At 41.3% G+C, this 27643-nt stretch overlaps 1 long non-coding RNA gene across 1 annotated transcript, besides 2 other annotated features; it reads right to left on the reverse strand.

Moving 5' to 3' along the window:
• Positions 1 to 6166: 6166 nt before the first annotated feature.
• Positions 6167 to 11379, reverse strand: LOC124902065 (uncharacterized). Its single transcript, XR_007061179.1, has 2 exons — positions 8116 to 11379; positions 6167 to 7518 (listed from the first exon to the last, which is right to left on the reverse strand). It is a non-coding gene; the product is annotated as an uncharacterized LOC124902065 (long non-coding RNA).
• Positions 16182 to 16351: an enhancer, noted in NCBI's record as "active region_27793". NCBI's record gives its function as "activates an Ori minimal core promoter by ATAC-STARR-seq in GM12878 lymphoblastoid cells {active_cell/tissue: GM12878}" and the evidence as "EXISTENCE:reporter gene assay evidence [ECO:0000049][PMID:35858748]".
• Positions 18693 to 19448: an enhancer, noted in NCBI's record as "NANOG-H3K27ac hESC enhancer chr8:105295895-105296650 (GRCh37/hg19 assembly coordinates)". NCBI's record gives its function as "activates a minimal SCP1, AML or CMV promoter by ChIP-STARR-seq in naive H9 embryonic stem cells {active_cell/tissue: H9 hESC(naive)}" and the evidence as "EXISTENCE:reporter gene assay evidence [ECO:0000049][PMID:30033119]".

A 27643-nucleotide genomic window follows, 5' to 3' on the forward strand; every position in this document is an offset into this window, starting at 1 on the left:
TGAGTGTTGAGGCTTATTTTACTTTTGAGCATAGTGTTTATTTTGGCTGACATTCCAAGTGTACTTGAAAAGAATGTATATTTTGCAGTTGTTGGGTGTAATGTTATAGTTCTGTGAATATTAATTAGGTCAAGTTGATTAATATTGTTGTTAAAATCTTCTATATCTTGATTGTCTAATTCTGTCAGTTAGTGAGAGAGAAGTATTAAAATCTGTAACTATGTTTGTGGGTGTGTCTATTTCTTCCTTTAGCTCTGTCAGTTTTTTTCTTCATGTATCCTGAACCTCTGTTATTAACTGCATAAGATATATGATTGCTATATCTTCTTGTTGAATTGAATTGTTTATCATTATATGCAGTACCCTTTTATTACTGGTAATATTCCTTGTCTGGAAGTTTATTTTCTGTTGATATACCTATACCATCCTTCTTATGCTTACTGTTTCCATCCTTTTACTCTTCATCTATTTGTGCCAGTTTATTTAAATTGTTTCTCTGTCTCCTTTAGGATTATATGGCTGCCTTTTGCTTTTTAATCTAGTCTGATAGTTTCTACCTCTTAAATAGAAAGTTTAATTCATTTACATTTAATATAATTAATAATATGGTTGGGTGTAAGTCTACCCTCTTGTTATTTATTTCCAAGTTATCTTATCTAGTTTTGTTTATCTGTTTCTTCTTTTCCTGTCTTCTGAAGTAATATTTTTTATATTCCATTTTCATTCCTCTATTTGCTTTGTGTTAATTTTTTATGGTTTCTTCTAGATAGAGTACAAGATGGATCCTTAACTTATTACTGTCAATTTAGAGTTAATATTTTACTAGTTCACATAAAATGTAAGACCCTTACAACAGCAAAATTCTATTTACTCTGCCTATCCTTTTTGCTATTGTTGTCCTTTAGTTTGTCCACATAAGTAATAAAATTCTATAATGCAATGTATTATTTTTGTTTTAAATAATTTGTTATATTTCAAAAAATTCAGAGAAGGAAAAAACATTTCTTTGTATTTCTAATAACATTTACTTTTTCTGGTTCTCTCATTCTTTCCTGTAGATCCAAGTTTCCATATGGTGTCATTTCCTTTCAGTCTGAAAATTTTTCTTAAGCATTTCTTATAATACAGACCTGCTGGCAATAAATTCTACAGGCTTGTTATCCTGAAAATATCTTTATTTCATCCTTTGAAGTATAATTTTAAAGGATAAAGAATTTTGTGTTGAGTGTTTTTATCCCATATTATACTATTAAGTTAATGATGGGTTCTTTTGGTCCTGTCAGATTTGTTTCATTCTTTGTTAGGGCAAGTCTATTTCAGTTTTGAACTTAGAGCATGGCCCTCATTCCTAAGGCCTAGTCTTTCTGGAGTCACGACTGCATGTCTGAAGTACTCACTCAGCTGTGTCCACTCTGGCTTGTCATTTGATAACGCTACTAACAGGAGCATAATAACATCAACTCTTGACTGTTTTATAAAGTGTAATTTTTTTATTTCGATTTTTAAATTTTAAAACATATAAAGATTATACTTCCAGGTTAAACCTTTGTCTGACTATTCCTTGTACCCCCAGAGGCAACCACTATTGTGTTTTTACATTTATTGCTTCTATGTATGAGTATACTTTTCCTATTCATGAATTTATCCTTAAACAGGAAAATGGATAAGTAACTGGGATACTTAAGTCTTGTATTAGAGAGATGCTTTGGAGACAGAAGTTATATTAGAAAAGGAGGCTGGGCGCAGCGGCTCGTGCCTGTAATCCCAGCACTGTGGGAGGCTGAGGCGGGTAGATCACCTGAGGTCAGGAGTTCGAGACCAGCCTGGCCAACATGGTGAAATCCTGTCTCTACCAAAAATACAAAAAAAAAGAAAAAAAAAATTAGCTGGACATGGTGGCGGGTGCCTGTAATCCCACCTTTTGGGAGGCTGAGGCAGGAGAATCACTTGAACCCAGGAGGCGGAGGTTGCAGTGAGCAGAGAGCTCCCCATTGCACTCCAGCCTGGACAACAAGAGCGTAACTCCGTCTCAAAAAAAAAAAAAGAAAAAGAAAAAGAAAAAGAGATTCTAGAGACAGGAAGATTAATTAGAAGATTGTTGAAATGATCCACAATGAATGTTGGTGAGGAAGAAGTAAGGGCAAAAATAATAGATAAGGAGGCTGAAAGGCCATTTGCAAGGAAAGGATAACATTAAATTTGATTTAAAGCTTGAATTTTAAATATGTTTATTGGTGTTATTTAAATACTGGGAAGTATTTAAGTAACTTTTCAAAATTATGTCCTGTTAAACATTTAATGCATGTCTCCTATGTGCCATGTACTGTGTTGAAATTTGTGGATGTGATGTTAAGCAAAAATAAAATCATAATTTCTACCTATACAAATCTTTCTGCTGTGCTCATACTCTCTTCTGAAGGGACAAATGTACATAGCCATTTTTTCAGCCCAATATTTAGCAGGTATGCATTGGTACAGCCATGCCAGGTTTATGTAGTCAGTGCCTAATCTAATTGATTGACATCCTGTTCTAAAAAGTTGGTTCTTCATTCCGATTGGCTGATACCTCTTATGTATCAATTGCTAAGTTTTAGTATTTGACTATCAACATGAATGACCAATAGCATGACACTTCAAAGATAAGTTCAACCTATCATAGTCTTTCTTTCATTGAAATAATTAACCCTACGGCCACAAATTATGGAGGATCAGAAACGTGATTAAACAGAGGAAACTAATTGATAGCAGGATGAAAGAAGCAGACATATGAAGTGTAATTGTATAAAAACCATGATGTATCACTAACACTCTGCCAAGATGTTTAGACCCATCTTGAATCTGGACTGTGTGAGGTCCAGCCCTATTTTAGATCTTCTCTTCTTAGATATCCAATAGATTCTCCTAATCACTTCATGTAATTCCTCACAATAAACACCCGCCTTCCTTAAGCTAGCTTGCTTGAGTAAATCTTCGTTTATTTAGCCAAGAGACAAACTAAACTGTAACATCATCTATAATTCAGATAATTTGTCAAACCATGACATGAATACATTCATCAAATCTGAGCGCTGTGTAAGTACAGGAAGTGGCATAAATGTCAAGAACAGATGTGAAGCTGGAAGTCTGGAGACATTTTCTGACCATACTGGGTAAAGGAATTTATTCTAGTTCTCTTAACTTTGGGACTTAAGAGATGCTATCAAGCAATAGTTCTCAATCTTCAATGTGCATCAGAATCGCCAAGAAAACCTTGTTAAAATATAAGTGTCTGGGCTCCATTGGCAGACATTCTGATTCAGTAGGTCTGAGGAAAGGCCCCAGAATATGCATTTCCAACAAGGTGCTAATGCTGCTGATCTGGGGAACCCACTTTAAGAACAACTGGCATGGAGAATTCTCAGAGTAAGTTCATGTTAATGTTCATCTGTTTATGGTTCCCGCCTTTACAGAGTCACCAGTTCCATGGTAGCTTACTACTTTACAAAATTCTGCCATCCATATTCCCAGGGTTAGTTTGTGTTATGGTTAATATGGACTGTCAACTTGACTGGACTGAAGGATGCAAAGTATTGTTCCTGGCTGTGTCTGTGAGGGTGTTGCCAAAGGAGATTAACATTTGAGTCAGTGGGGTGGGAAAGGCAGACCTACCCTCAATCTGGGCGGGCACCATCTTATCAGCTGCCATAACGACTAGAATAAAGCAGGCAGAAGAAGTTGGAAATAGCAGACTTGCTGAATCTTCTGGACTTCATCTTTCTCCCATGCTGGATGCTTCCTGTCCTTGAACATCAGACTCCCAGTTCTTCAGCTTTTGGACTCTTGGACTTACACCAGTGGTTTGCCAGGGGCTCTCAGGCCTTTGGCCACAAACTGAAGACTGCACTGTTGACTTCTCTATTTTTGAGGTTTTGGAACTCAGACTGATCCACCACTGGCTTCCTTGCTCCTCAACTTGCAGACGGCCTATCGTGGGACTTCACCTTGTGATCGTGTGAGTCAATTCTCCTTAACAAACTCCCTTTCATATATACATATATCTTATTAGTACTGTCCCTCTAGAGAACCCTGACTAACACAGAGGGGTAGGGCTGGAAGATAATATCCAAGAGCAAAGAGAAAGTCATAAATAAGCCATTACATTAATAATGATTTTTCTTTCTCTGGAAGAAATGACAGCAGAGAGATTTGAGGGTTTCCGGAACTTACGGTGCTGTCAATAAAGAGCCATAAGTATACAACTGGGGTCTGGCTGTATTTATCTAATATACTATACTGGAAAGGCTAATGATGGAGAATTACAGATGTTTCTAATATTTAGGTGTTTTATTATCACCAGCAGTACATCTCTAAATCAAATAAAATGAAATTTCATAACCCAAGGGTGGACCATTTTTTATTTGTCGCAAAACTAAAAAACAACAACACTAATTATTACCTAGCCTTAATATTGCCCTCTGTTTTCTCAAAATGTGAAATTCTCATATGAATTATCTTTGCTTAGCCACACAACTTTTCTGTGAATTGAGGTCATGTCCTGGTGCTTCTTTACTCAACTAATGTTTATGGAAAAACACGAAGGTTAGCCATTGTATTCTTCATGTAAAAAACTTCATTCTTCATGCAAAAAACTCACTGTCCAGTAGGGGAGATAAGACTTCTGGAGAAATTACTGCAACAACAAGAAATAGAGCAGAGCAGGTGCCTTAGGGGTCCCAGGAGAGGGGAGTCACTTTTGGTTGGAGGGATCAGAGACGTTCCTATGAAGAAAGTGGCATCTCAGCTGAGTTTTAAAAGTGAACTTGGGTTTTGACATGAGTATGTGGGAAGAAAAGGATTTCAAAGACAGAAAATTAATTCTAAGAGCACTGAGCAAATAAGCTCAGGGTATGTATTAGTCAGGGTTCTCCAGTGAAACAGAACCAATAGAGTATGTATTCATCTGTTCTTATACTGCTAATAAAGACATACCCGAGACTGGGTAATTTATAAAGGAAAGAGGTTTAATGGATTCACAGTTCTACGTTGCTGGGGAGGTCTCACAATCATGGCAGAAGACAAAGGAAGAGCATAGAAATATCTTACATGGCAGCAGGCAAAGAGAGAATGAGAGTCAAGTGAAAGAGGAAACCGCTTATAAAACCATCAGATGTCATGACTTATTCACTACCACAGGAACAGTATGGGGGAAACTGCTCCCATGATTCAATTATCTCCCAGCAGGTCCCTCCCACAACATGTGGGAATTATGGGAGCTTCAATTCAAGATGAGATTTGGGTGGGGACAGAGCCAAACCATATCAGAGTATATACTCATTCTATATATATAGAATGATTTTTTATAAGGAATTGGCTCATATGACTATGAAAGTAGAAAAGTCTCACAATCTGCTGTGTGCAAGCTGGAGACCCAGGAATGTTGGTAAAGGAAATTCCGGTCCAAGCTTGCAGGCCTAAGAACCTGGGGAGCTGTTGGTGTAATCCTCCATCTAAGAGCAAGAGAAGACCAATGACCTAGCTTAAGTAGTTGGGCAGAGAGAAAGAATTCATCTTCCTCTGACTTTTTGTTCAGAGCCCTCAAAGGTTGAATGATCCTAACACTGGGGGAAGGCAATTCACTTTACTCAGCTCACCAACTCAAACAAATCTCTTCCAGAAACATCCTTACAGACACATCCAGAAATAATGTTTAACCAGGGCAGGCGTGGTGGCTCACACCTATAATCTCAGCACTTTAGGAGGCAGAGGCAAGAGGATCACTTGAGGTCAGGATTTCAAGACCAGTTTGGCTAACACGGTAAAACCCCATCTCTACTAAGAATACAAAAATTAGCTGGGTGTGGTGGCACGTGCCTGTAATTCCAGCTACTTTGGAGGCTGAGGCAGGAGAATCACTTGAGTCTGGGAAGTGGAGGTTGCAGTGAGTGGAGATCACGCCATTGCACTCCAGCCTGGGTGACAGAGGAAGATTCCATCTCAAAAAAAGAAAAAACAAAAAAGTTTAACCAGATATCTGGGCATCCTCTGTCCCAGTCACATTGACACATAAAATTAACCATCACAGGTTATATCCCATTTATGGTGGGCTATGTGGTGTTGTGCTCATGTAAGATCCATGCAAAGGAGTAGGGGAGATGAGACTAGAGGTGAAAGAATGCAGGGTCTTAAATGCCAGATCAAGGATTGAGAGTTTATTCAGTAGATGATGGGGACACATCGGAGTTTTGAGCAAAGGCATAATATAATCTAGATATTTACTTTTATCACATTCATGAATAGCTAATGACAAAGGAAGGATAATTGATCATAAAAGGGAAGAGAATAAAAGCAGCAAAATTACTCAAGACGTATAATAGTGCAAGAATTGAGGGACCAAAGCAAGAATCAAGGAGGCACCTGTGGGAACCATAAGGCAGAGTTGCAAATAAAGTGGGGACAAAATGTAAAATAGTCATGCATCACTTAACAATGGAGATACATTCTGAGAAATGCATCATTAGGCGATTTTGCAGTACTGCACACATCACAGAGTGTACTTACAGAAACCTAGATCATATGTGTGTGTGTGTGTGTATATATATATATGTATATGTGTGTATATATATATGTATATATATATATATGAAAAACAAATTTCCCAGCAGCATTGCTGAATATCAATAATTTCCCCTACTTAATCTGCAATGCCAGTATCAAATGCCACATATCAGGCTTCTGCATATGCTCCATTATAATTTTATGGGACCACCATCGTATTTGTGGTCTGTCATGACCAAAACATCATTATGCAGCACATGACTGTAAGTGATTGAATGAAGTTTAGGTTTTTAGAAGAGTGTTCGTACCATTGACCAAAATAAAAAAAATCAGGAAGAGACTTTTGCTTCTGGGTTAGGGAGGAAAAATAATGAATATAGAAATAGATATGTTGAGCTTGTACTTCTATAAGTAAAATCATATAGAAATGTTGACGGCAGCAGGAGAAGTAGAACTTGCGCTTCAGAGAAAGAAACAAATTGAGATGTTGTATCAGTAAACATAGATTAGCTTATGCTACAATAATAAGCTACATGAACATCTTGGTGACTTGAAACAATGCTGCTTATTTGTAACTCATGCTTCATGTTCATTGTGGTTCATCAGGGGCACTGTGTCCATCCTAGTTACTCAGGAGCTCCATTTAATAGAGGCTCTGTCTCGATGTTACCAAAATGCCAGGGGTTCAGTCTAGGTCCTGTTGCTTGCTGCACGGACGGAATCCCAATCACTGAGGCAATGAGTACTGACAGGGAAGCGGGCTTTAATCAGGTGCTGCAGCCAAGGAGAATGGGAGATAAGGTCTCAAAGCCATCTCCTTGACCGACTAAAATCGGGAGGTGTATATAGCAGGGAAGCAGGGAGGTGGGAAAGCAGGAATTCATGGAGGTAAGGAAGCAATCATGATTGATGAGTGGTCTGGAATATTGTTGTTCAGATGAAATGATCCGGTGAGTTTTAGTTTCTTGCCTGAGAGTAGATTTCCTGAGGAAGGAACTCAAATGAGACAAATGTAAGTTTCAAGTTTTAAGGCTAGGGAGGGTCAGTTTCTATGTTTATTCAAACAACTGTAAATGTTAGTTCTATGGGACAACAGGGATGACTTCAGTCCCCCTTTTCTATAGATCAATTCCTCAGTCATGGGGAATCTGGTCATCGATCTTTCTGGCTGCTTCATGCTGAGGAGGGATGTTGTGGGATCATGAAGAGGCTTGGAAATGTTGCCCCTGTGGTTGGAATCAGTCAGGGGTACTTTTATTTTGGTTTTAGAGCAACATTTTACACCACATTGACTAAGATAATAAATTACATAGATAACCCAAATTTAGATAATACCAAAGAATATGGAGTTGATCCCTTGGGGAAGCCAAGAGAAAGTTCCTGAAAGCCGCATGTTCACTTTATGATTTCTTATCTAGCGTCTTTGTCTGGGCTTTGAATGCTAACTTAAGGCCCTCCCAAGGTTCACAAGACCATGACTGTTTTCCCTGGAGGGATCCCAAAGGGACTGGTTTTACTCAAGTCTGGTGAATCCAAGTCTCAACACTGGTTAAGAACAGAAGGGTGGCTGGCCAGCAGCACCTCAGAAGGGCCGATCCATTGTGGTTGCAGCTGGTCCTCCGCATGACTTGGTTCTCTGGTTTCAGTTTCAAAGAGTGAGGAGGCACATCCGTAGGGAACTGGAGCCTATTGGAAGTAAACTCAGAGAAAGTAGTTAATATATTTCCAAAGGGTAAAGTTAATACCCTTACCATTATAAAGCCAGCCCCCACTGGTTTGCATAGGAAACATATCATCTGCTTCATCTGAGGTGCTCCACTTGACATTGATAAGTGGAGTTGAGCAGTTTCCCTTCTCAGGGTAAACAGATCTTACTGGCTTTAAGTATTCAGTAAGTAAACAGATATTAGTGGCTTTTATCTAGTCAACCAGGCTGGCTATTGTCTTGGGAATAACCTCCTGTGTGCCTGTAATATATATATTTATCTGTGATTGTTCACTAGCGAGCGGTGGGTTCTGAGTCAACCAAAACAGGTTCTTCTACTTTGCAGCATTTAAAACCAAAGACATTGCTCTTCAGTTAGTTATTCTCACTACCCATTTTAGTAAAGGTTTCTGAGGAAGCTGATGGTACCAATCTACAAAACAGAACTTATCCCTTTACATTATACCCTCCGGTTTCAATAATTACTTGATTTTGCCTTTCTCCAACATTGACTACCTTTTTGGAAACTGCGGGTCTCAGAGGTGCTTTTTGGTGCCCGGGCATAATTTTCCCTTTTGTGGGTAGCTTTGAGGCTAGTGGTCTGAATCCAAACAGTCTCACATCTGAGCTTGGTTTAGTTTGAAGCCCGAACTCCGCACTCTCTTACTTTCTTTGGAACTATTATAGATAACAATAACTAAGGAATTTAATTTTTTTTCCTCGTTAGTTCACATTTCCTTATGCATCCAGTGAGCCAGCTCCCCAGGAGCTTAATCCATCTGTAAATTCCATGGGTAACTTGTAGCTTTAATAACTGAAAGCAGCACAGCTGCAGCTCCATATGATGGGTGACCAGAGTGCCATCAAGAATCAAAGGTTAATTTAATAACAGGTGTACTCTAGTGTTTTTTTTTTTGAAACACAATTTTTCTTTTTCCCAACCCCCATTTCTACCAAAGACAAATCATAGTAGACCCAATTTATTTGCAAAATTGTTAGTCTTATTCTAGGTGGCCTGATTATTTGCATAAAATACAGCAAGAATTATTGTTCTCATAGGTTCTTTTAAATTGGGCTTTGCTGGAACTTTTCATAAGGAATCTCAGATTTGAAATTAAAGACCTCTCAAGCCCGGCCAAGGATTTATCTGTGCCTGAAGATACTTGTATGAATTGGGTGAATTCCTCTCTTCTTGAGGTCCCAGAATAACTTGTGGTTTCTGGGCCTGTCAGAAAGTGACATTCTTTACTTACCACAGGCCAGGAACCCTGCAAAGGAACTGTGTAGACCAGGTACAAGGGCAGTATTTTTAAGGGACTTTCATAGGCTCTGTAAGTCAACATCAATTCCTCAAAGCATTCTGCTCATATCTGAAAATACATTATTCCAGTCAAAGCCTTGGTAAAATAACCAGTGCCTCCAATTGTGTCCAGTTATAAAAGAAAACAGAATTTTATTAAACTTATGCAAATAACTATTGCTATAAATTAGGAATATGCACAGTTTCCAAATTTTGCAGAAATCAGGTAGAAACAGAAATATGCTTCAAATTTTGATCACAAGATATACTCCACACAATAGTCGAAGGCTATACTTAGCTCAAAAGGAAAAAAAAAGCCTCGTTGACTCTAAAAACAAAAACAAAAATAATCAGCAATTTGCAAAAGCAAATTTTGGACTATAGCTGATTGTAAGCTGCTTTTTGAGAAGAATCAAAATGAAACAATAATTGTAGATGACAAAAGTCTTAAGACACCCATAGTTAAAGACAAAATTGACAAGGAAATTTGGTTATTTCTGTGACAATTTAACATAATAATCATAATTATTCCTGATAATATACTAAGATAAATCAGGATTTTAGGAATCTCATACAATTTTGGAACACATTTATATAAATATAACCCAAAGAAAGCCAAACTCCATTTCATATTTGACAAAGCTTCCTGTAAAATTTTAACATATCAAATGAAAATAATATGTCCCTCTTGGGCTTCAGGGAACCCTACTATCTAAAAAGTTAGTTTCAAGTCAAAAGACTGAATTTAGAACTTGAAATTTTGATTTTGGAAAGTTGGTCAAATAACAAAGGTTTAAAACATTTCGTATCACAAAATAATATCACAGGTCACTATAAAATAGGTATTCATTTAGCCAAAATACTAATTACCAAATAATAAGGCCTAATAAAGACAGCATGAGGCCAAAAAAAAAAAAGTCTCTCTCTCTCTCCTCTTTTTTTCCTGCAGTTTACTCAAAAGATAAACAAAAAACTTTTATTATCTCTTATTAATATTATATGAAAATTTTATTCAAAAGATAAAAACAAATTTTACCTTGGTATGATGTATTATTTATGTTAAAGCTAATTTCAATAAATCTTTATAAATAATTCTATCCAAGTTTAATAAATTTGACCACAGGTAAGATTTTCATAAGCCTTTTATAACCTTTCACAATTCTCTATGAAAGAGCAGGTCAGTGCTGTAGGAGAATCCTGTGATTCTGACACAGGGGCCCAGACACTGGCCTTGGAAAAGTGTGCTTTTGATATTGTTTACTTTCTAGAGAAAATCTGAACTAATCTTATCCCTCAAAATCAGCCCTACAATCTCACATGCCCACCTCTTCCCCAATAGTCCCTGGGCCAAGAGAGATCAAACACTTTAACTTCTGGCCTCATGTCTTATGAAAGCAGTTCATTTTGATTGCCATCTTCTCTCAGTCTGAAGATGAGGCTTTGATTGGTGTCAGTGTTCAAGATTTAGCAGAAGGCAGTGCCTTTTTCGGACCCAGCCAAAGCTCTGTAACTCAACAGCACAAGGACTTTATTAGCAATAGAGAAAATTACGTGATGTAAAAGCCTTAATTCCTCAATGCCTCTAAGTCCCAGTATTCCTAAGCAATCAAAAACCTAATAATGATGACACAGGAATTATCTTGGTAAAATATAAAATTTTTTGGGGGGGCATATAGCAAAAGGCAAAGAAAGACCTTCCACAGCGTGACTGCTTCTCTCTTTTTTTTTTTTTTTTTTTGAGATGGAGTCTCACTCTGTCACTCAGGCTGGAGTGCAGTGGCGAGATCTCGGCTCTCTACAACCTCTGTCTCCTGGGTTCAAGTGGTTCTCCTGCCTCAGTCTCCTGAGTAGTTGGGATTACAGGCGCCCACCACCACACCTGGCTAATTTTTGTATTTTTAGTAGAGACAGCGTTTCACCATGTTGGCCAGGCTGGTCTTGAACTCCTGGCCTCAAGTGATCTGCCTGCCTCAGCCTCCTAAGGTGGTGATTGCTTCTCTTTATGGGAAGCTTATTTAGATAACCTGAAAGTCAAACCTGATGAACAATTTCAACATGGCAAGAAAAGCCAAGAGTATAGAATCAAATTATTCTAGAGGAAAACATTACTTTTCTAGACCTTCAAAATAAACATTCAAGCATCAGGCCACAACATCAGTTAGAACAGGAGGAAAAATAAAGTTACAGAAGCTGACAAAAAAGTTGAAGGAGAGAGTTATCATCTCAGGCCTTTACAATGAGAAAGAAAAAAGCTGAAAACAGCAAGACACAACAAAGTTGCACCTCAGAGATAGAACTCTGAGAAGTTTTCAAAAAGAAACAGATTATAGAATTAAAATCAAAGCCTCTTATACAAGATCCTTTCTCATATAAAATCATTCTCTTTTCCTTATAACCTTTCTTACCAAAAATACATCTTCATATCCGTAACTTTTTTACATGTCTTTCCCCTACTTAGTGTTTCCTTTTTTTTCGTTGTTTCATAAATAACTTTTCCAAGTCCATAATTTGAATCAACCTTTAGATAACTTCTGAATTTAGACAAAATTATTCTTTTTCTCAATAAGGACACATCTTCTTTGGCATGCTTTATATACAGAATTATATATTAACTAGAATTCTTATTTTTAGTAACCTTAAATTTTAGTGAAAACCTAGGATGTAAGAAATCCTGAACTGTCTATCAGAATTTAGCATTTCACAGATGAAAACTTTCCACAATTTTTAAAAACGTGTTTCTCTAGGTCATAACCCTTTCTTTATTGGAAATGACCCAGACATCTAATGAGCTTCCAAAATAATTAGAAGATTTTTAAATCCACAAAGATTCCCTTACAGTATTTACCCCATTTATATTTCATTCATTTTTAGCAGTTTATCTAGATGACTTATGAAAACAGTGATATCAGAAAAAGCTAGTAATGATTTCCTTGTTAACCATTTTTATGACCGGTGCCTAATAGGCATTCATCTAGGTAAGAATCTTAAAGGCACACACATAGGTATTTTCACCCATAACGCAGAAGATTCACCTGTTTTTGTTAAACCAACAACATTAAATTAGTTTTATTCATTTAAAAAAAAAATCACAGAAAGATCATTTTGTTCTTGTCTGGCTTTGCAGTCTTACAACCTTTTGTGCCAAACCCTGACACCTTAAAATTTCCAGCAGAGACAAATATAAAACCCAGACAAAAATATATGCTGACAACTCTGAAGACATTTTTATTTTTATTTTACTAATAATCTTAAAGCCAGCTTGCTTATGATACATTTACTTCAGTCATACACATTTGAAAAATGCTTGGACTTATTTACTTAACTTATGAGTGCTCTTTTAGTTATAGGCCAATTTGGTACTGTATGAAAACACGTAACATTCAGATACATGTACACCCATATAAATAAAGAGCCAGTAACTTTTACCTTGGAATTCTAGCCATGAGACAGCAATGCAAACTTACTAGTCTGTAAAAGATAGCTGGATCCAAATGATTTCTGACAAAATTGGGACCTGTCCACATGGCTAAACTTTATTTGCTCTGATAGGTAATCCGATGAAGGCTGTGAACCAAAACTTTGGGTAAAGCAGTTTCCATGGTAGTTAGATTTCCTTTTAGAGGTCAAACTCTCCCAAACTCCAAAGAATACTGGGGCCAAACACACTACAGAAGAACATTATGTACTAACTAGGCCCAACCCTGCTTAGAACAGCAGCATAAAATCCTGGGTACATGGAAGTCCCTCCTGCTTTCCTATTCAACAGCAAAATGAAGACTGCCCTATAATTCAAAGACCTTCCAAGATGAGATGAGACCTGGCACTTTTGAGGTGGGATGGCCATAGCCATCAGCCTACAACTATATTCAGACCAACCGTGAAGGATGCATCAAAGTGGGCAGCGCTGTGGGATCAAATCCCGACCTCCCACAACTACATCAAAACATACACAAAACAATCAACAAAATATAATACAACTGTTGCAGCAGCAAACAAGGGCCAAAAGGCCCAAACTGAAACAGTTGAGGTGCTTCCTCTCTCTGTCTGTTTGGCTTGTTCAACCTGCAAATGGAAAGTCCTTTGAAATTTCTCAAGCTGAGGGGAGCTGATCTCACTGTCTGGTAACCACAAAAGACACTCAGTTGCCAAGACACACAAGCAATTACTAACAAGCCCCAAGAGTGTACAAACTGAAACAGTCAGAGTGCTTTCCTCTTTGACAGTTGGGCTTGTTCCATCTACAAATGGAAATTCCTCCAGAATTTCCCAAATTGAGAGGAGCTGATCCTGCTCTCTGAGCCCACAAAAGACACTCACCTACCCAGACACTGATGCCAAATTAAAAAGGCTGTTCTTAGGCAATCAAGAATGCAGTTGGAGCTGGCAACGGTGGGGCTAGAGAGAGAGAGACTGAAACCAACCTCTGGCCAAAAAAAGGTGGGCAGCTGCTTAGGAGGGCTTCTGAAACTCTGCCAGCCCACTGTGGTCAAGCCACAAGCAGCACGTTCCCAGTTAGGGAACCAAAATCTGTTACTGAAATAGCAGGGGTTTGGTCTAGGTCCTTGTATTAGTCTGTTCTCACATTGGTATAAAGAACTACCTGAGACTGGATAATTTATGAAGAAAAGAGGTTTAATTGACTCACAGTTCCACAGGCTGTATAGGAAGCAAAGCATGGCTGGGAGGCCTCAGGAAACTTATAATAATGGTAGAAACTGAAAGGGAAGCAAGCACATCTTACCATGGCAGAGCAGGAGAGAGAGAGAGCAAAGGGGGAGATGCTACACACTGTTAAACAACCAGATCTTGTGAGAACTCATTCACTATCACAAGAACAGCAAGGGGGAATTCCACCCTTATGATCCAATCACCTCCCACCAGGTCCCTCCCCTAACATTGGGAATTACAATTCGACATGAAATTTGGGTGGTGACACAGAGCCAAACACTATCGGTCCTGCTGCTCACTGTATAGAAAGCCAATCACTAAATCAACGAGTATTGCCAGGGAAGAAGGCTTTGATAGGGTGCTGCAGCCAAGGAGAACAGGAGATAGTCTCAAATCTGTCTCCCCAATCGACTAAAATTGGGGGGTTTATGTAGCAGGCAAGGTAGGAAAACAGGAATTAGAAAAGAGTAAGGAAGCAATTATGATGGATGAGGGGTCTGGCATCTCACTGGTTGTGGTGATCTGGTGAGTTTCAGTTCCTTGCCTGAAGGTAAGTTTCCTGAGAAAGAAACTCAAATGAGACAAATGTTAAGTTTCAAGTTTTAAGACTAGGGAGCCTCAATTTCTATGTTGATTAAAAAAAATCATAAATATTTGTTCTAATGGACAATCAAGTCAGTTTCATCCATATGTTCTCAATGATTACAGAGAAAGGGAAAGGAGAATAAGGGAAAGGAGCAAGCATTGGCTTACAAAATTTCTGCCCGGAAGTGACATATGACATTTTTTTCTTACATTTCATTGGCAAAGTGAGTCACATTATCACTCCTGAGATCTTATGAATGCAGAAAAATGATTCTACATGTGCCTATGGCAAAAGACCACCATTTGTAAACTGCTGTACTGACTTCCATAGGTACCATCCATGTAAGAGACGATGATGACAGAGCAGGAGGTGCCATCTTTGACGTAAAGAGGAAAGAGAGAAAAGCAAAGCTCTAAAGATACAACTTCAAAGAACATTCTTATTTATATGACAGTAGGAGGAACACATACTTGAGAAGGGAAAATAAAACCATGTAGACAAGCGAAGGGCTCAGTTTCATCTAGGGTCACATCTGTGAGAAGCATGTCAAGAAGTTTCCTCAGTGCCCAATCTGGAGATAAGTCAATGAGGCAAAGCTGGGTCTAACCTTGAAGAAGACATGGTTGGCCTTCAGGAGAGCTGCTTCAGGGAGGCAAGGGGGCTGGATAAGAAGCCAGTCTGAGAAGGGAGCCATCAAAAGTGGGGGCAGAACACTGAAATATGGGAAAAAGGAAGGGACACAAGATGGTTGCTTAAGGTAGCAGCAAAACCAAAGCTGCTTTGTTAAATCAAACCTGACACAGTTTTTGATTCACCCATTCAGCAAATATTTATTGAACATTCACTCTTGCCAAACACTGTTTTAGGAGCTGGGAGAGAGAAAGCAAGATAAGTTTCCTGTTCCCATGGAACTTTTCTTCTAGTGCAACAGTCCTCAAACTTTTGGCACAAGGGGCTGGTTTTGTGGAAGACAATTTTTCCATAGACTGGGGCGTGGTTGGTTTCAGGATGAAACTGTTTCACCTCAGATCATCAGGCATTAGGTTCTCATAAGGAGCACACAACCTCGATTCCTCCATGTGCAGTTCACAACAGGTTTTGTGCTCTGATATGGTTTGGCTGTGTCTTCACCCAAATCTTACCTTGCATTGTGATAATCCCCACATGTCAAGGGTGGGGCCAGGTGGAGATAATTGAATCATGGGGGAGGTTTCCCCCATACTGTTCTTGTGGTAGTGAATAAGTTTCACAAGACCTGATGGTTTCATAAATGGGAGTTCCCCTGCACAAGCTCTCTTGCCTGCCACCATGTAAGAGATGACTTTGCTCCTAATTTACCTTCTGCCATGATTGTGAGGCCTCCCCAGCCATGTGGAACTGTGAATCAATCTTCTTTCTTTTATAAATTTTATACACTCCTGTGAGAATCCAGTGCCACCTCCGATCTAACAGGCGGCAGAGCTCAGGTGGTAATGCTTGCCTGCCCACAGCTTGCCTACTGCTGTATGGTACTGGTCCATGGCCCAGGGGTTGGGGACCCCTGTTCTAGTGGAGGCAACATACAATAAACAAGTGAGCAAGGAAATGAATGAGTGAAGAGATGATTTCCCATTATATCTAGTTCAGATAAGATAAATTATATTTAGTTCTTCCTTCCCTTCTGAAAGGAAGTAACCATGTGGGTGGGAGGTATGAGCTGAAGAGCATATTCACACTAGTCAGGAAAGGTCTCTCAGGATGTGACATGTAAGTTGACTCCCAGAGGACAAGAAACATCAGTCAAGCTGATTTTGAGGTTTTGAGCTGGAATGTTCCATGGCATGCAAAATCTCCAATGGCAATGTCACAGGGCAAACCCCCAAATTAGGGTTCATCCCAGGAGGCCACATGGGTCCTTGGCTTTGAGCAGGAAGGAATTCAAGAGCCAGTCAAAAGAGTAAAGTGAAAGCAAGTTTATTAAGAGAGTAAAGGAATAAAAGGGTGGCTACTCCACAGGCAGAGCAGCCCCAAGATCTTCTAGTTGGCTACTTTTATGGTTATTTCTTGAGCATATCCTAAATAAGGGGTAGATTATTCATCTGAGTTTTCCAGGAAAGGGGCCGGGAATTCCCATAACTGAGGGTTCCTCCCCATTTCAGGCCATACAAGGTAACTTCCAGACGTTGTGATGGCATCTATAAACTGCCATGGCACTGGTTGGGGTTTCCTTTAGCGTGCTAATGTATTATAATTAGTGTATAATGCACAGTGAGGATGGCCAGAGATCACTTTTGTCACCATCTTGGTTTTGGTGGAGTTTGGCTGGCTTCTTTCCCGCATCCTGCTTTATCAGTGGGGTCTTTGTGACCTGTATCTTGTGAAACCAGTCCTGCCAAACTCCTATCTCAAGATCAAGCTCTCACAGAAAATAGGGACAAGGTGGAAATTTAAAATTTAAAATTTTAAAATTTTAAATTTTAAATATCTGGGTTTGTATACTTGTGTGTTTGTATATTTGTGTGTAAATACCTACAGTAAATGAAGTTTCTGGAAGACATTTACTTCTCAATACGTAAGATTCATTAGTTAGAGGTATATGCCTTCTCCCTTAGGCAACTCTGCCACAGAATCATCTTCAGCAGTGTTGGAGCTCAGAAACCATTCTCCAAAATATGGTGCTTTGACATGCTGAACTGTAGAAGAAGCCTTAAGGTCTCTTCAACCTTCCCCTCTTCCCACCATCTCTCTCAAAGCACAGGATAAAGTTGTTAAGTTCCATTATCTCCCTTAAGTCTGGACCCCCCTCCCCACCAAAAAGGAGAACAATTATTTTGTCTTCCTGTCACTGTAAGACCAAGAATGTAACCACACCTGAACAGACCTTTTCACAAGGTAATGTCTGCCTCTCAGGCTTATTCAAATTCCAAAGAGAAGTGTTTACAAGTAATCTCTGTTCCAGGATCCATGGTTCTTCCCAGCAAGCCTTTACTGTTCCTCAAAAGAATTCCTCTTCTCCTCTTCCCATAATCTGTTTTGCCAGGATGCTAGAGAAGCGTCCAAATCCCCTTGGCAGGAGGTAATCACTGTGATTCTCCTCATGTACGTGTTAATAAAATTCGAATGCCTTTTCACCAACGAATCTGCCTTTTGTGAGATGATCTTTCAGTGAACATTCAGAGGGTGAACGGGAAGTTTCCCTTGGTCCCAACAGCTGTTTGGGAAAGATGGCTGCCGGGTAGCAATCTGCTGAGGTGGATTCTCTCAGTGTTTTCAATAGTGCAGACTCTTTCTTTCTATGATTTTTGAACCAGCCCTTACTGGCTTAACATGCAATACATCTTCTACTTGGATTTGCCCTAGTTTCAGATGTACAGAATTTAGTCATATACCTGTATAAGGCTGAGCTTTCTCAAATATTACTGTGGGACTTAGGAAGGATTTTCCTGGGTCTATTCTTTTACCCGTGTGGGTTTTTGAAAAAGAAACTTAAACAGATCTCTGCAGAACTCTATGACTAGCCTCTGTAGCTTTAGGAGATGAAAGTATAAACCAAAATGTATCTGAGACAATCTCAGTCAACTTAGAATTTTATTTTGCCAAGGTTAAGGATGTGCCCGTGGCACAGCCTCAGGAGTTTCTGACATGTGCCCAAGGAAATTTTGATACAGGAGCTAGAAAGAAATTATTTAGGCAGTTAGTGAGGGTAAGAGAGTCTTTGGCTAGGTTTCCCTTTTAATAAAAAGCAGCCCCCAAATCATTTTTTTTCTAACAAAGAGAAGCCTGAAAAATCAAGCTGCAGACATAAAAAAGCAAGCTAGAAGCTTGCAGGGGTGAATGCCGGCAGCTGTGCACAACATGGAGGCTCCATCTTCCCTTTTCTTTGTCAACCACGTGTAAAGAAGCAAGCAACATGGTGCCGGCCAGGTAGAGAACTCACTTGCATGATAACAGATGAGGGTGGGGCGGCCAGCTTCTTCGTGTGCTATGTAAATGGCACACCTGATCCAACCAATCTCTCATCCCCTATGTAAATCAGACATCACCTCCTCAAACTCATCTATAAAACCACGTGCATTTCACCATGGAAATGGAAGACCCACGCAGGACCCCCTTCTCTATGCAGAAGAGAGACCTTTTCTCTTTCTCTCGCCTATTAAACGTCCTTTTTTTTTTTCTTTTGAGACAGAGTCTCGCTCTGTGGCCCAGGCTGGAGTGCAGTGTCGCGATTTTGGCTCACTGCAACCTCCGCCTCCTGGGTTCAAGCAATTCTCTGCCTCAGCCTCTTGAGTAGCGGGGATTACAGGCATGTGCCACCACGCCTGGCTAATTTTTGCATTTTTAGTAAAGACGGGGTTTCACCAACTTGGCCAGGCTGGTCTTGAACTCCTGACCTCGTGATCCAACCGCCTCGGCCTCCCAAAGTGCTGGGATTACAGGCGTGAGCCACCATGACCGGCCTTAAACATCCACTCTTAAACTACTCCTTGTGTGTTCGTGTCCTTGATTTCCTTGGCCGTGAGGTAACAAACCTCAGGTATTTTCCCAGACAAATGGCTCTGCTTCAGTTTGGCTACAGCTGGGATTTATACATTTTAGGGAGACATAAGACATCCATCAATACATGTAAGATATACATTGGTTCAGTCTGGAAAGACAGGACAACTTGAAGTGGGAGCGAGAAGCGGGACTTCCAGGTCATAGATGGATTCAAAGATTTTTTGATTGGCAATTTGTTGAAAGAGTTTATCTGCAGACCTGGAATCCATAGAAAGAAGTGTCTGGACTAAGATAAGGAGTTGTGGAGACCAAGGTTCTTATTAAGCAGATGAAGCCTCCAGGTAGCAGGCTTCAGAGACAATAGATTGTAAATGTTTCTTATCAGACTTAAAAAGGTGCTAGACTCTTAGTTAATTCTCTCCTGGATCAGAAGAAAAGAACTGGAAAGGGAAAGGGAGTCTCTACAGAATGTAGATTTTTTCCCCATGAGAGAAAGCTTTGCAGGGCCATTTCAAAATATGTCAAATAAATATATTTTAGGGTAAAATGCTTCGATTTCATTCAGGGCCTGCTATTTGTCAAGTGATGCTATACTAAAGTCAGGCTGGGACTTGAAGCCTTATTGTTACAAGAAGTCTTAAGATGTCTGTTTTGATGTTAATGCTGGTCAGTTGTCCCTGAATTCCAAAGGGTGGAGGGCATAATGAGGCATGGCCAACACCCCTGACCCCGGCTTCCCATCCTGGCCTGAACTAGGTTTTCAGGTTAACTTTAGAATTCCCTTAGCTGAGAGGAGGGGTCCAATCAAAGGGCTGGAAGGCTTAGAATTTTATTTTTAGTTTACAAAAGCAATCATTTTGGCCATTATGGTCTGAATTAAATTGCCACTAGGAAAAACTATATATATTTTAAAGTTGGGATGATGCCATTGTGGTGGGATAATCTGGAAGAAGCTTAATTTGTGTTAACTTATTTCTATTTATTCTTAATATTTGCCTATATCCCCCCTGCTATAACATAGCTCCCTGAATACAGGAATACTTGTCTGTTTTGTTCCTGGATATTTCTCCAGCTCCTAGAAAGTGCCTGACCTGGAGAAGGTGCTCATGAAGCATCCAATGAATCAGTGTTTCTTCTACTTGTGGGACTGTCCTACCAGTCCCCTATTGACTCCAGTAGGGATGGCACCATGTCTGAGAGGCCAAAGAAGAGACCTGGAGACAGAAGGTTTATTAGCATGGAGGGGGTGGGAACTTACATACAGAGAAATCCAGCGGAGGCAGGCTGGACAGGAGAACTACTATTGTTTGTAAACAGCATGTTGTGTATAAAACATTTTCACTTAGCACCCTCTACCTGGCAACCTCCATTTAACCCAAAACAAAGGGCCTCAACTCCCTCTATGGCCTGTGTTCCAAAGAATGGGCAGAGGTTTCAGACGACCATCACAGATAAAGCAAATCTCTGGGTTGGCCACTGCCACTCTTAGATTCTGTGAAAGGAAAATCTTGGGGTCCCCAAATTACTAAACTAAAGGGAAAAGTCAAGCTGGGGACTGCTTAGGTCAAACCTCCCTCCCATTCTATTCAAAGTCATCCCTCTGCTCACTGAGCTAGAGGCAGATCTGACTGCCTCCTTCAAAAAGGCTTCAGAAATTCAATATGAAACTGTCAGGCCTCTGAGCCCAAGCCAAGCCATCGCATCCCCTGTGACTTGCACGTATACATCCAGATGGCCTGAAGTAACTGAAGATCCACAAAAGAAGTAAAAATAGCCTTAACAGATGACATTCCACCATTGTGATTTGTTCCTGCCCCACCCTAACTGATCAATGTACTTTGTAATCTCCCCCACCCTTAAGAAGGTTCTTTGTAATTCTCCCCACCCTTGACAATGTACTTTGTGAGATCCACCCTGCCCACAAAACATTGCTCTTAACTTCACTGCCTATCCCAAAACCTATAAGAACTAATGATAATCCACCACCCTTTGCTGACTCTCTTTTCGGACTCAGCCCGCCTGCACCCAGGTGAAATAAACAGCCATGTTGTTCACACAAAGCCTGTTTGGTGGTCTCTTCACACGGATGCACATGAAATTTGGTGCCGTGACTCGGATCGGGGGACCTCCCTTGGGAGATCAATACCCCGTCCTCCTGCTCTTTGCTCCGTGAGAAAGATCCACCTACGACCTCAGGTCCTAAGACCGACCAGCCCAAGAAACATCTCACCAATTTCAAATCCAGTAAGCGGCCTCTTTTTACTCTCTTCTCCAACTTCCCTCACTATCCCTCAACCTCTTTCTTCTTTCAATCTTGGCGCTACACTTCAATCTCTCCCTTCTCTTAATTTCAATTCCTTTAATTTTCTGGTAGAGACAAAAGAGACATGTTTTATCCGTGGACCCAAAACTCCAGCGCCTGTCATGGACTGGGAAGGCAGCCTTCCCTTTGTGTTTAATCATTGCAGGGATGCCTCTCTGATTATACACCCATGTTTCAAGGGTGTCAGACCACGCAGGGACACTTGCCTTGGTCCTTCACCCTTAGCGGCAAGTCCCGCTTTTCTTGGGAAGGGGCAAGTACCCCAATCCCTTCTCTCCTTGTCTCTACCCCTTCTCTGCTTCTCTGGGGAAGGGGCAAGTACCCCAACCCCTTCTCTCCTTGTCTCTACCCCTTCTCTGCTTTTCTGGGGAAGGGGCAAGTACCCCTCAACCCCCTTCTCCTTCACCCTTAGCGGCAAGTCCCGCTTTCCTAGAGGGCAAGAACCCCCCCAATCGCTTATTTCTGCACCCCAACCTCTTATCTCTGTGCTCCAATCCCTTATTTCCACACCCTGACCTTTTATCTCTGTGCCCCAATCCCTTATTTCCATGCCCCAACCCCTTCTCTGCTTTTCTGGAGGGCAAGAACCCCCCACCCCTTCTCCGTGTCTCTACTCTTTTCTCTGGGCTTGCCTCCTTCACTATGGGTAAGCTTCCACCTTCCATTCCTCCTTCTTCTCCCCTAGCCTGTGTTCTCAAAAACTTAAAACCTCTTCAACTCACACCTGACCTAAAACCTAAATGCCTTATTTTCTTCTGCAATGCCGCTTGACCCCAATACAAACTCAACAGTAGTTCCAAATAGCCAGAAAATGGCACTTTGAATTTTTCCATCCTGCAAGATCTAAATAATTCTTGTTGTAAAATAGGAAAACGGTCTGAGGTGCCTGACATCCAGGCATTCTTTTACACATCAGTCCCTTCCTAGTCTCTGTGCCCAGTGCAACTCATCCCAAATCTTTCTTCTTTCCCTCCTGCCTGTCCCCTCAGTCCCAACCCCAAGCGTCACTGAGTCTTTCTAATCTTCCTTTTCTACAGACCCATCTGACCTCTCCCCTCCTCGCCAGGCCGAGCTAGGTCCCAATTCTTCCTCAGCCTCCGCTCCTCCACCCTATAATCTTTTTATCACCTCCCCTCCTCACACCTGGTCCGGCTTGCAGTTTTGTTCCATGACTAGCCCTCCCCCACCTGCCCAGCAATTTAATCTTAAAAAGCCAAAGGCATAGTCAAGGTTAATGCTCCTTTTTCTTTATCCCAAATCAGATAGCGTTTAGGCTCTTTTTCATCAAATATAAAAATCCAGCTCAGTTCATGACTTGTTTGGCAGCAACCCTGAGATGCTTTACAGCCCTAGACCCTAAAAGGTCAAAAGGCCATCTTATTCTCAATATACATTGTATTACCCAATCTGCTCCCGACATTAAATAAAACTCCAAAAATTAAATTCCAGCCCTCAAACCCCACAACAGGATTTAATTAACCTCACCTTCAAGGTGTACAATAATAGAAAAAAGTTGCAATTCCTTGCCTCCACTGTGAGACAAACCCCAGCCACATCTCCAGCACACAAGAACTTCCAAACGCCTGAACTGCAGTGGCCAGGCGTTCCTCCAGAACCTCCTCCCACAGGAGCTTGCTACACGTGCCGGAAATCCGGCCACTGGGCCAAGGAATGCCCGCAGCCCAGGATTCCTCCTAAGCCGCGTCCCATCTGTGTGGGACCCCACTGAAAATCAGACTGTTCAACTCACCTGGCAGCCACTCCCAGAGCCCCTGGAACTCTGGCCCAAGGCTCTCTGACTGACTCCTTCTCAGATCTTCTCGGCTTAGTGGCTGAAGACTGACACTGCCCGATCGCCTCGGAAGCCCCCTAAACCATCACGGATGCCGAGCTTCCGGTAACTCTCACAGTGGAAGGTAAGCCCGTCCCCTTCTTAATCAATACGGAGGCTACCCACTCCACATTACCTTCTTTTCAAGGGCCTGTTTCCCTTGCCTCCATAACTGTTGTGGGTATTGACGGCCAGGCTTCTAAACCTCTTAAAACTCCCCAACTCTGGTGCCAACTTAGACAATACTCTTTTAAGCACTCCTTTTTAGTTATCCCCACCTGCCCAGTTCCCTTATTAGGCTGAGACACTAACTAAATTATCTACTTCCCTGACTATTCCTGGACTACAGCTATATCTCATTGCCACCCTTCTTCCCAATCCAAAGCCTCCTTTGCATCCTCCTCTTGTATCCCCCCACCTTAACCCACAAATATGAGATACCTCTACTCCCTCCTTGGCGACTGATCATGCACCCCTTACCATCTCATTAAAACCTAATCACCCTTACCCCACTCAACGCCAATATCCCATCCCACAGCATGCTTTAAAAAGATTAAAGCCTGTTATCACTCGCTTGCTACAGCATGGCCTTTTAAAGCCTATAAACTTTCCTTACAATTCCCCCATTTTACCTGTCCTAAAACCAGACAAGCCTTACAAGTTAGTTCAGGATCTGCTCCTTATCAACCAAATTGTTTTGCCTATCCACCCCATGGTGCCAAACCCATATACTCTCCTATCCTCAATACCTGCCTCTACAACCCATTATTCTGTTCTAGATCTCAAACATGCTTTCTTTACCATTCCTTTGCACCCTTAATCCCAGCCTCTCTTCACTTTCACTTGGACTGACCCTGACACCCATCAAGCTCAGCAAATTACCTAGGCTGTACGGCTGCAAAGCTTCACAGACAGCCCCCATTACTTCAATCAAGCCCAAATTTCTTCCTCATCTGTTACCTATCTTGGCATAATTCTCATAAAAACACACGTGCTCTCCCTGCCAATCGTGTCTGACTGATCTCTCAAACCCCAGCACCTTCTACAAAACAACAACTCCTTTCCTTCCTAGGCATGGTTAGTGCAGTCAGAATTCTTACACAAGAGCCAGGACCGCACCCTGTAGCCTTTCTGTCCAAACAACTTGACCTTACTGTTTTAGCCTAGCCCTCATGTCTGCGTGCAGTGGCTGCCGCTGCATTAATACTTTTAGAGGCCCTCAAAATCACAAACTATGCTCAACTCACTCTCTACAGTTCTCATAACTTCCAAAATCTATTTTCTTCCTCATACCTGACGCATATACTTTCTGCTTCCCAGCTCCTTCAGCTGTACTCACTCTTTGTTAAGTCCCACAATTACCATTGTTCCTGGCCCAGACTTCAATCTGGCCTCCCACATTATTCCTGATACCACACCTGACCCCCATGACTGTATCTCTCTGATCCACCTGATATTCACCCCATTTCCCCATATTTCCTTCTTTCCTGTTCCTCACCCTGATCACGCTTGATTTATTGATGGCAGTTCCACCAGGCCTAATCGCCACACACCAGCAAAGGCAGGCTATGCTATAGTACAAGCCACTAGCCCGCCTCTCAGAACCTCTCATTTCCTTTCCATCGTGGAAATCTATCCTCAAGGAAATAACTTCTCAGTGTTCCATCTGCTATTCTACTACCCCTCAGGGATTGTTCAGGCCTCCTCCCTTTCCTACACATCAAGCTCGAGGATTTGCCCCTGCCCAGGACTGGCAAATTGACTTTACTCATATGCCTCGAGTCAGAAAACTAAAATATCTGTTAGTCTGGGTAGACACCTTGACTGGATGGGTAGAGGCCTTCCCCACAGGGTCTGAGAAGGCCACCACAGTCATTTCTTCCCTTCTGTCGGACATAATTCCTCGGTTTGGCCTTCCCACCTCTATACAGTCTGATAACGGACCAGCGTTTACTAGCCAAATTACCCAAGCAGTTTCTCAGGCTCTTGGTATTCAGTGGAACCTTCATATCCCTTACCATCCTCAATCTTCAGGAAAGGTGGAACGGACTAATGGTCTTTTAAAGGCACACCTCACCAAGCTCAGCCTCCAACTTAAAAAGGATTGGACAGTACTTCTACCTCTTGCTCTTCTCAGAATCAGAGCCTGTCCTCCAGATGCTACAGGGTACAGTCCATTTGAACTTTTATAGGGATGCACTTTCTTGCTTGGCCCTAACCTCATCCAGACACCAGCCCTCTAGGCGACTATCTTCCAGTCCTCCAGCAGGCTAGACAGCAAATTCGCCAGGCTGCTAATCTTCTCTTGCCTACTCCAGATCCCCAGCCATATGAAGACACCCTAGCTGGATGATCAGTTCTTGTTAAGAATCTGACCCCTCAAACTCTACAACCTCGATGGACCGGACCCTACTTAGTCATCTATAGTACCCCGACTGCCATCCGCCTGCAGGATCCTCCCCACTGGTTTCACCATTCCAGAATAAAGCTGTGTCCATTGGACAGCTAGCCTAATCCCTCCTCTTCCTCCTGGAAGTCGCAAGTACTTTCCCCTACTTCCCTTAAACTCACTCGTATTTCTGAAGAACAGTAATAACACTTATGAGCCTAATACATCCCTTCATTCTATTAGATCTTTTCGTCCTTACCCTACTTTTTGCAACAGGGCTTTACGAAGCCACCCCCACCACTTAGACTGTGCCCCAAAAAAACTTGTCATCCCTACTATCTTTTTTCTAGTCATACTCCTATTCACCGTTCTCAACTACTCATACATGCCCTGCTCTTGTTTACACTGCCGGTTTACACTGTTTCTCCAAGCCATCACAGCTGATATCTCCTGGTGCTATACCCAAACTGCCACTCTAAACTCTTGAAGTAAATAAATAATCTTTGCTGGCAGGACTATGCTGAATCTCCTTAGGTACTCTCTAATCAGATGTCCTAGGTCCTCCCAATTCTTAGACCTTTTATACCTGTTTTTCTCCTTCTCTTATTCCATTTAGTTTCTCAATTCATCCAAAACCGTATCCAGGCCATCGCCAATCATTCTATACAACAAATGTTTCTTCTTACATCCCCACAATATCACCCCTTACCACAAGACCTCCCTTCAGCTTAATCTCTCCCATTCTAGGTTTCCACGCCACCCCAATCCCGCCTGAAGCAGCCCTGAGAAACATCTCCCATTCTCTCTCCATACCACCCCCCAAAAATGTTCACCGCCCCAACACTTCAACACTATTTTGTTTTATTTTTCTTATTAATATAAGAAGGCAGGAATGTCACGCCTCTGAGCCCAAGCCAAGCCATCGCATCCCCTGTGTGACTTGCACGTATACATCCAGATGGCCTGAAGTAACTGAAGATCCACAAAAGAAGTAAAAATAGCCTTAACTGATGACATTCCACCATTGTGATTTGTTCCTGCCCCACCCTAACTGATCAATGTACTTTGTAATCTCCCCCACCCTTAAGAAGGTCCTTTGTAATTCTCCCCACCCTTGAGAATGTACTTTGTGAGATCCACCCCGCCCACAAAACATTGCTCTTAACTTCACCGCCTATCCCAAAACCTATAAGAACTAATGACAATCCACCACGCTTTGCTGACTCTCTTTTCAGACTCACCCTGCCTGCACCCGGTGAAATAAACAGCGATGTTGCTCACACAAAGCCTGTTTGGTGGCCTCTTCATTTATTTTTAGTTTACAAAAGCAATCATTTTGGCCATTATGGTCTGAATTAAATTGCCACTAGGAAAAACTATATATATTTTAAAGTTGGGATGATGCCATTGTGGTGGGATAATCTGGAAGAAGCTTAATTTGTGTTAACTTATTTCTATTTATTCTTAATATTTGCCTATTTCCCCCCGCTATAACATAGCTCCCTGAATACAGGAATACTTGTCTGTTTTGTTCCTGGATATTTCTCCAGCTCCTAGAAAGTGCCTGACCTGGAGAAGGTGCTCATGAAGCATCCAATGAATCAGTGTTTCTTCTACTTGTGGGACTGTCCTACCAGTCCCCTATTGACTCCAGTAGGGATGGCACCATGTCTGAGAGGCCAAAGAAGAGACCTGGAGACAGAAGGTTTATTAGCATGGAGGGGGTGGGAACTTACATACAGAGAAATCCAGCGGAGGCAGGCTGGACAGGAGAACTACTATTGTTTGTAAACAGCATGTTGTGTATAAAACATTTTCACTTAGCACCCTC

Source organism: Homo sapiens, chromosome 8 (genome assembly GCF_000001405.40).
Source record: "Homo sapiens chromosome 8, GRCh38.p14 Primary Assembly".
Taxonomy (NCBI): domain Eukaryota; kingdom Metazoa; phylum Chordata; class Mammalia; order Primates; family Hominidae; genus Homo; species Homo sapiens.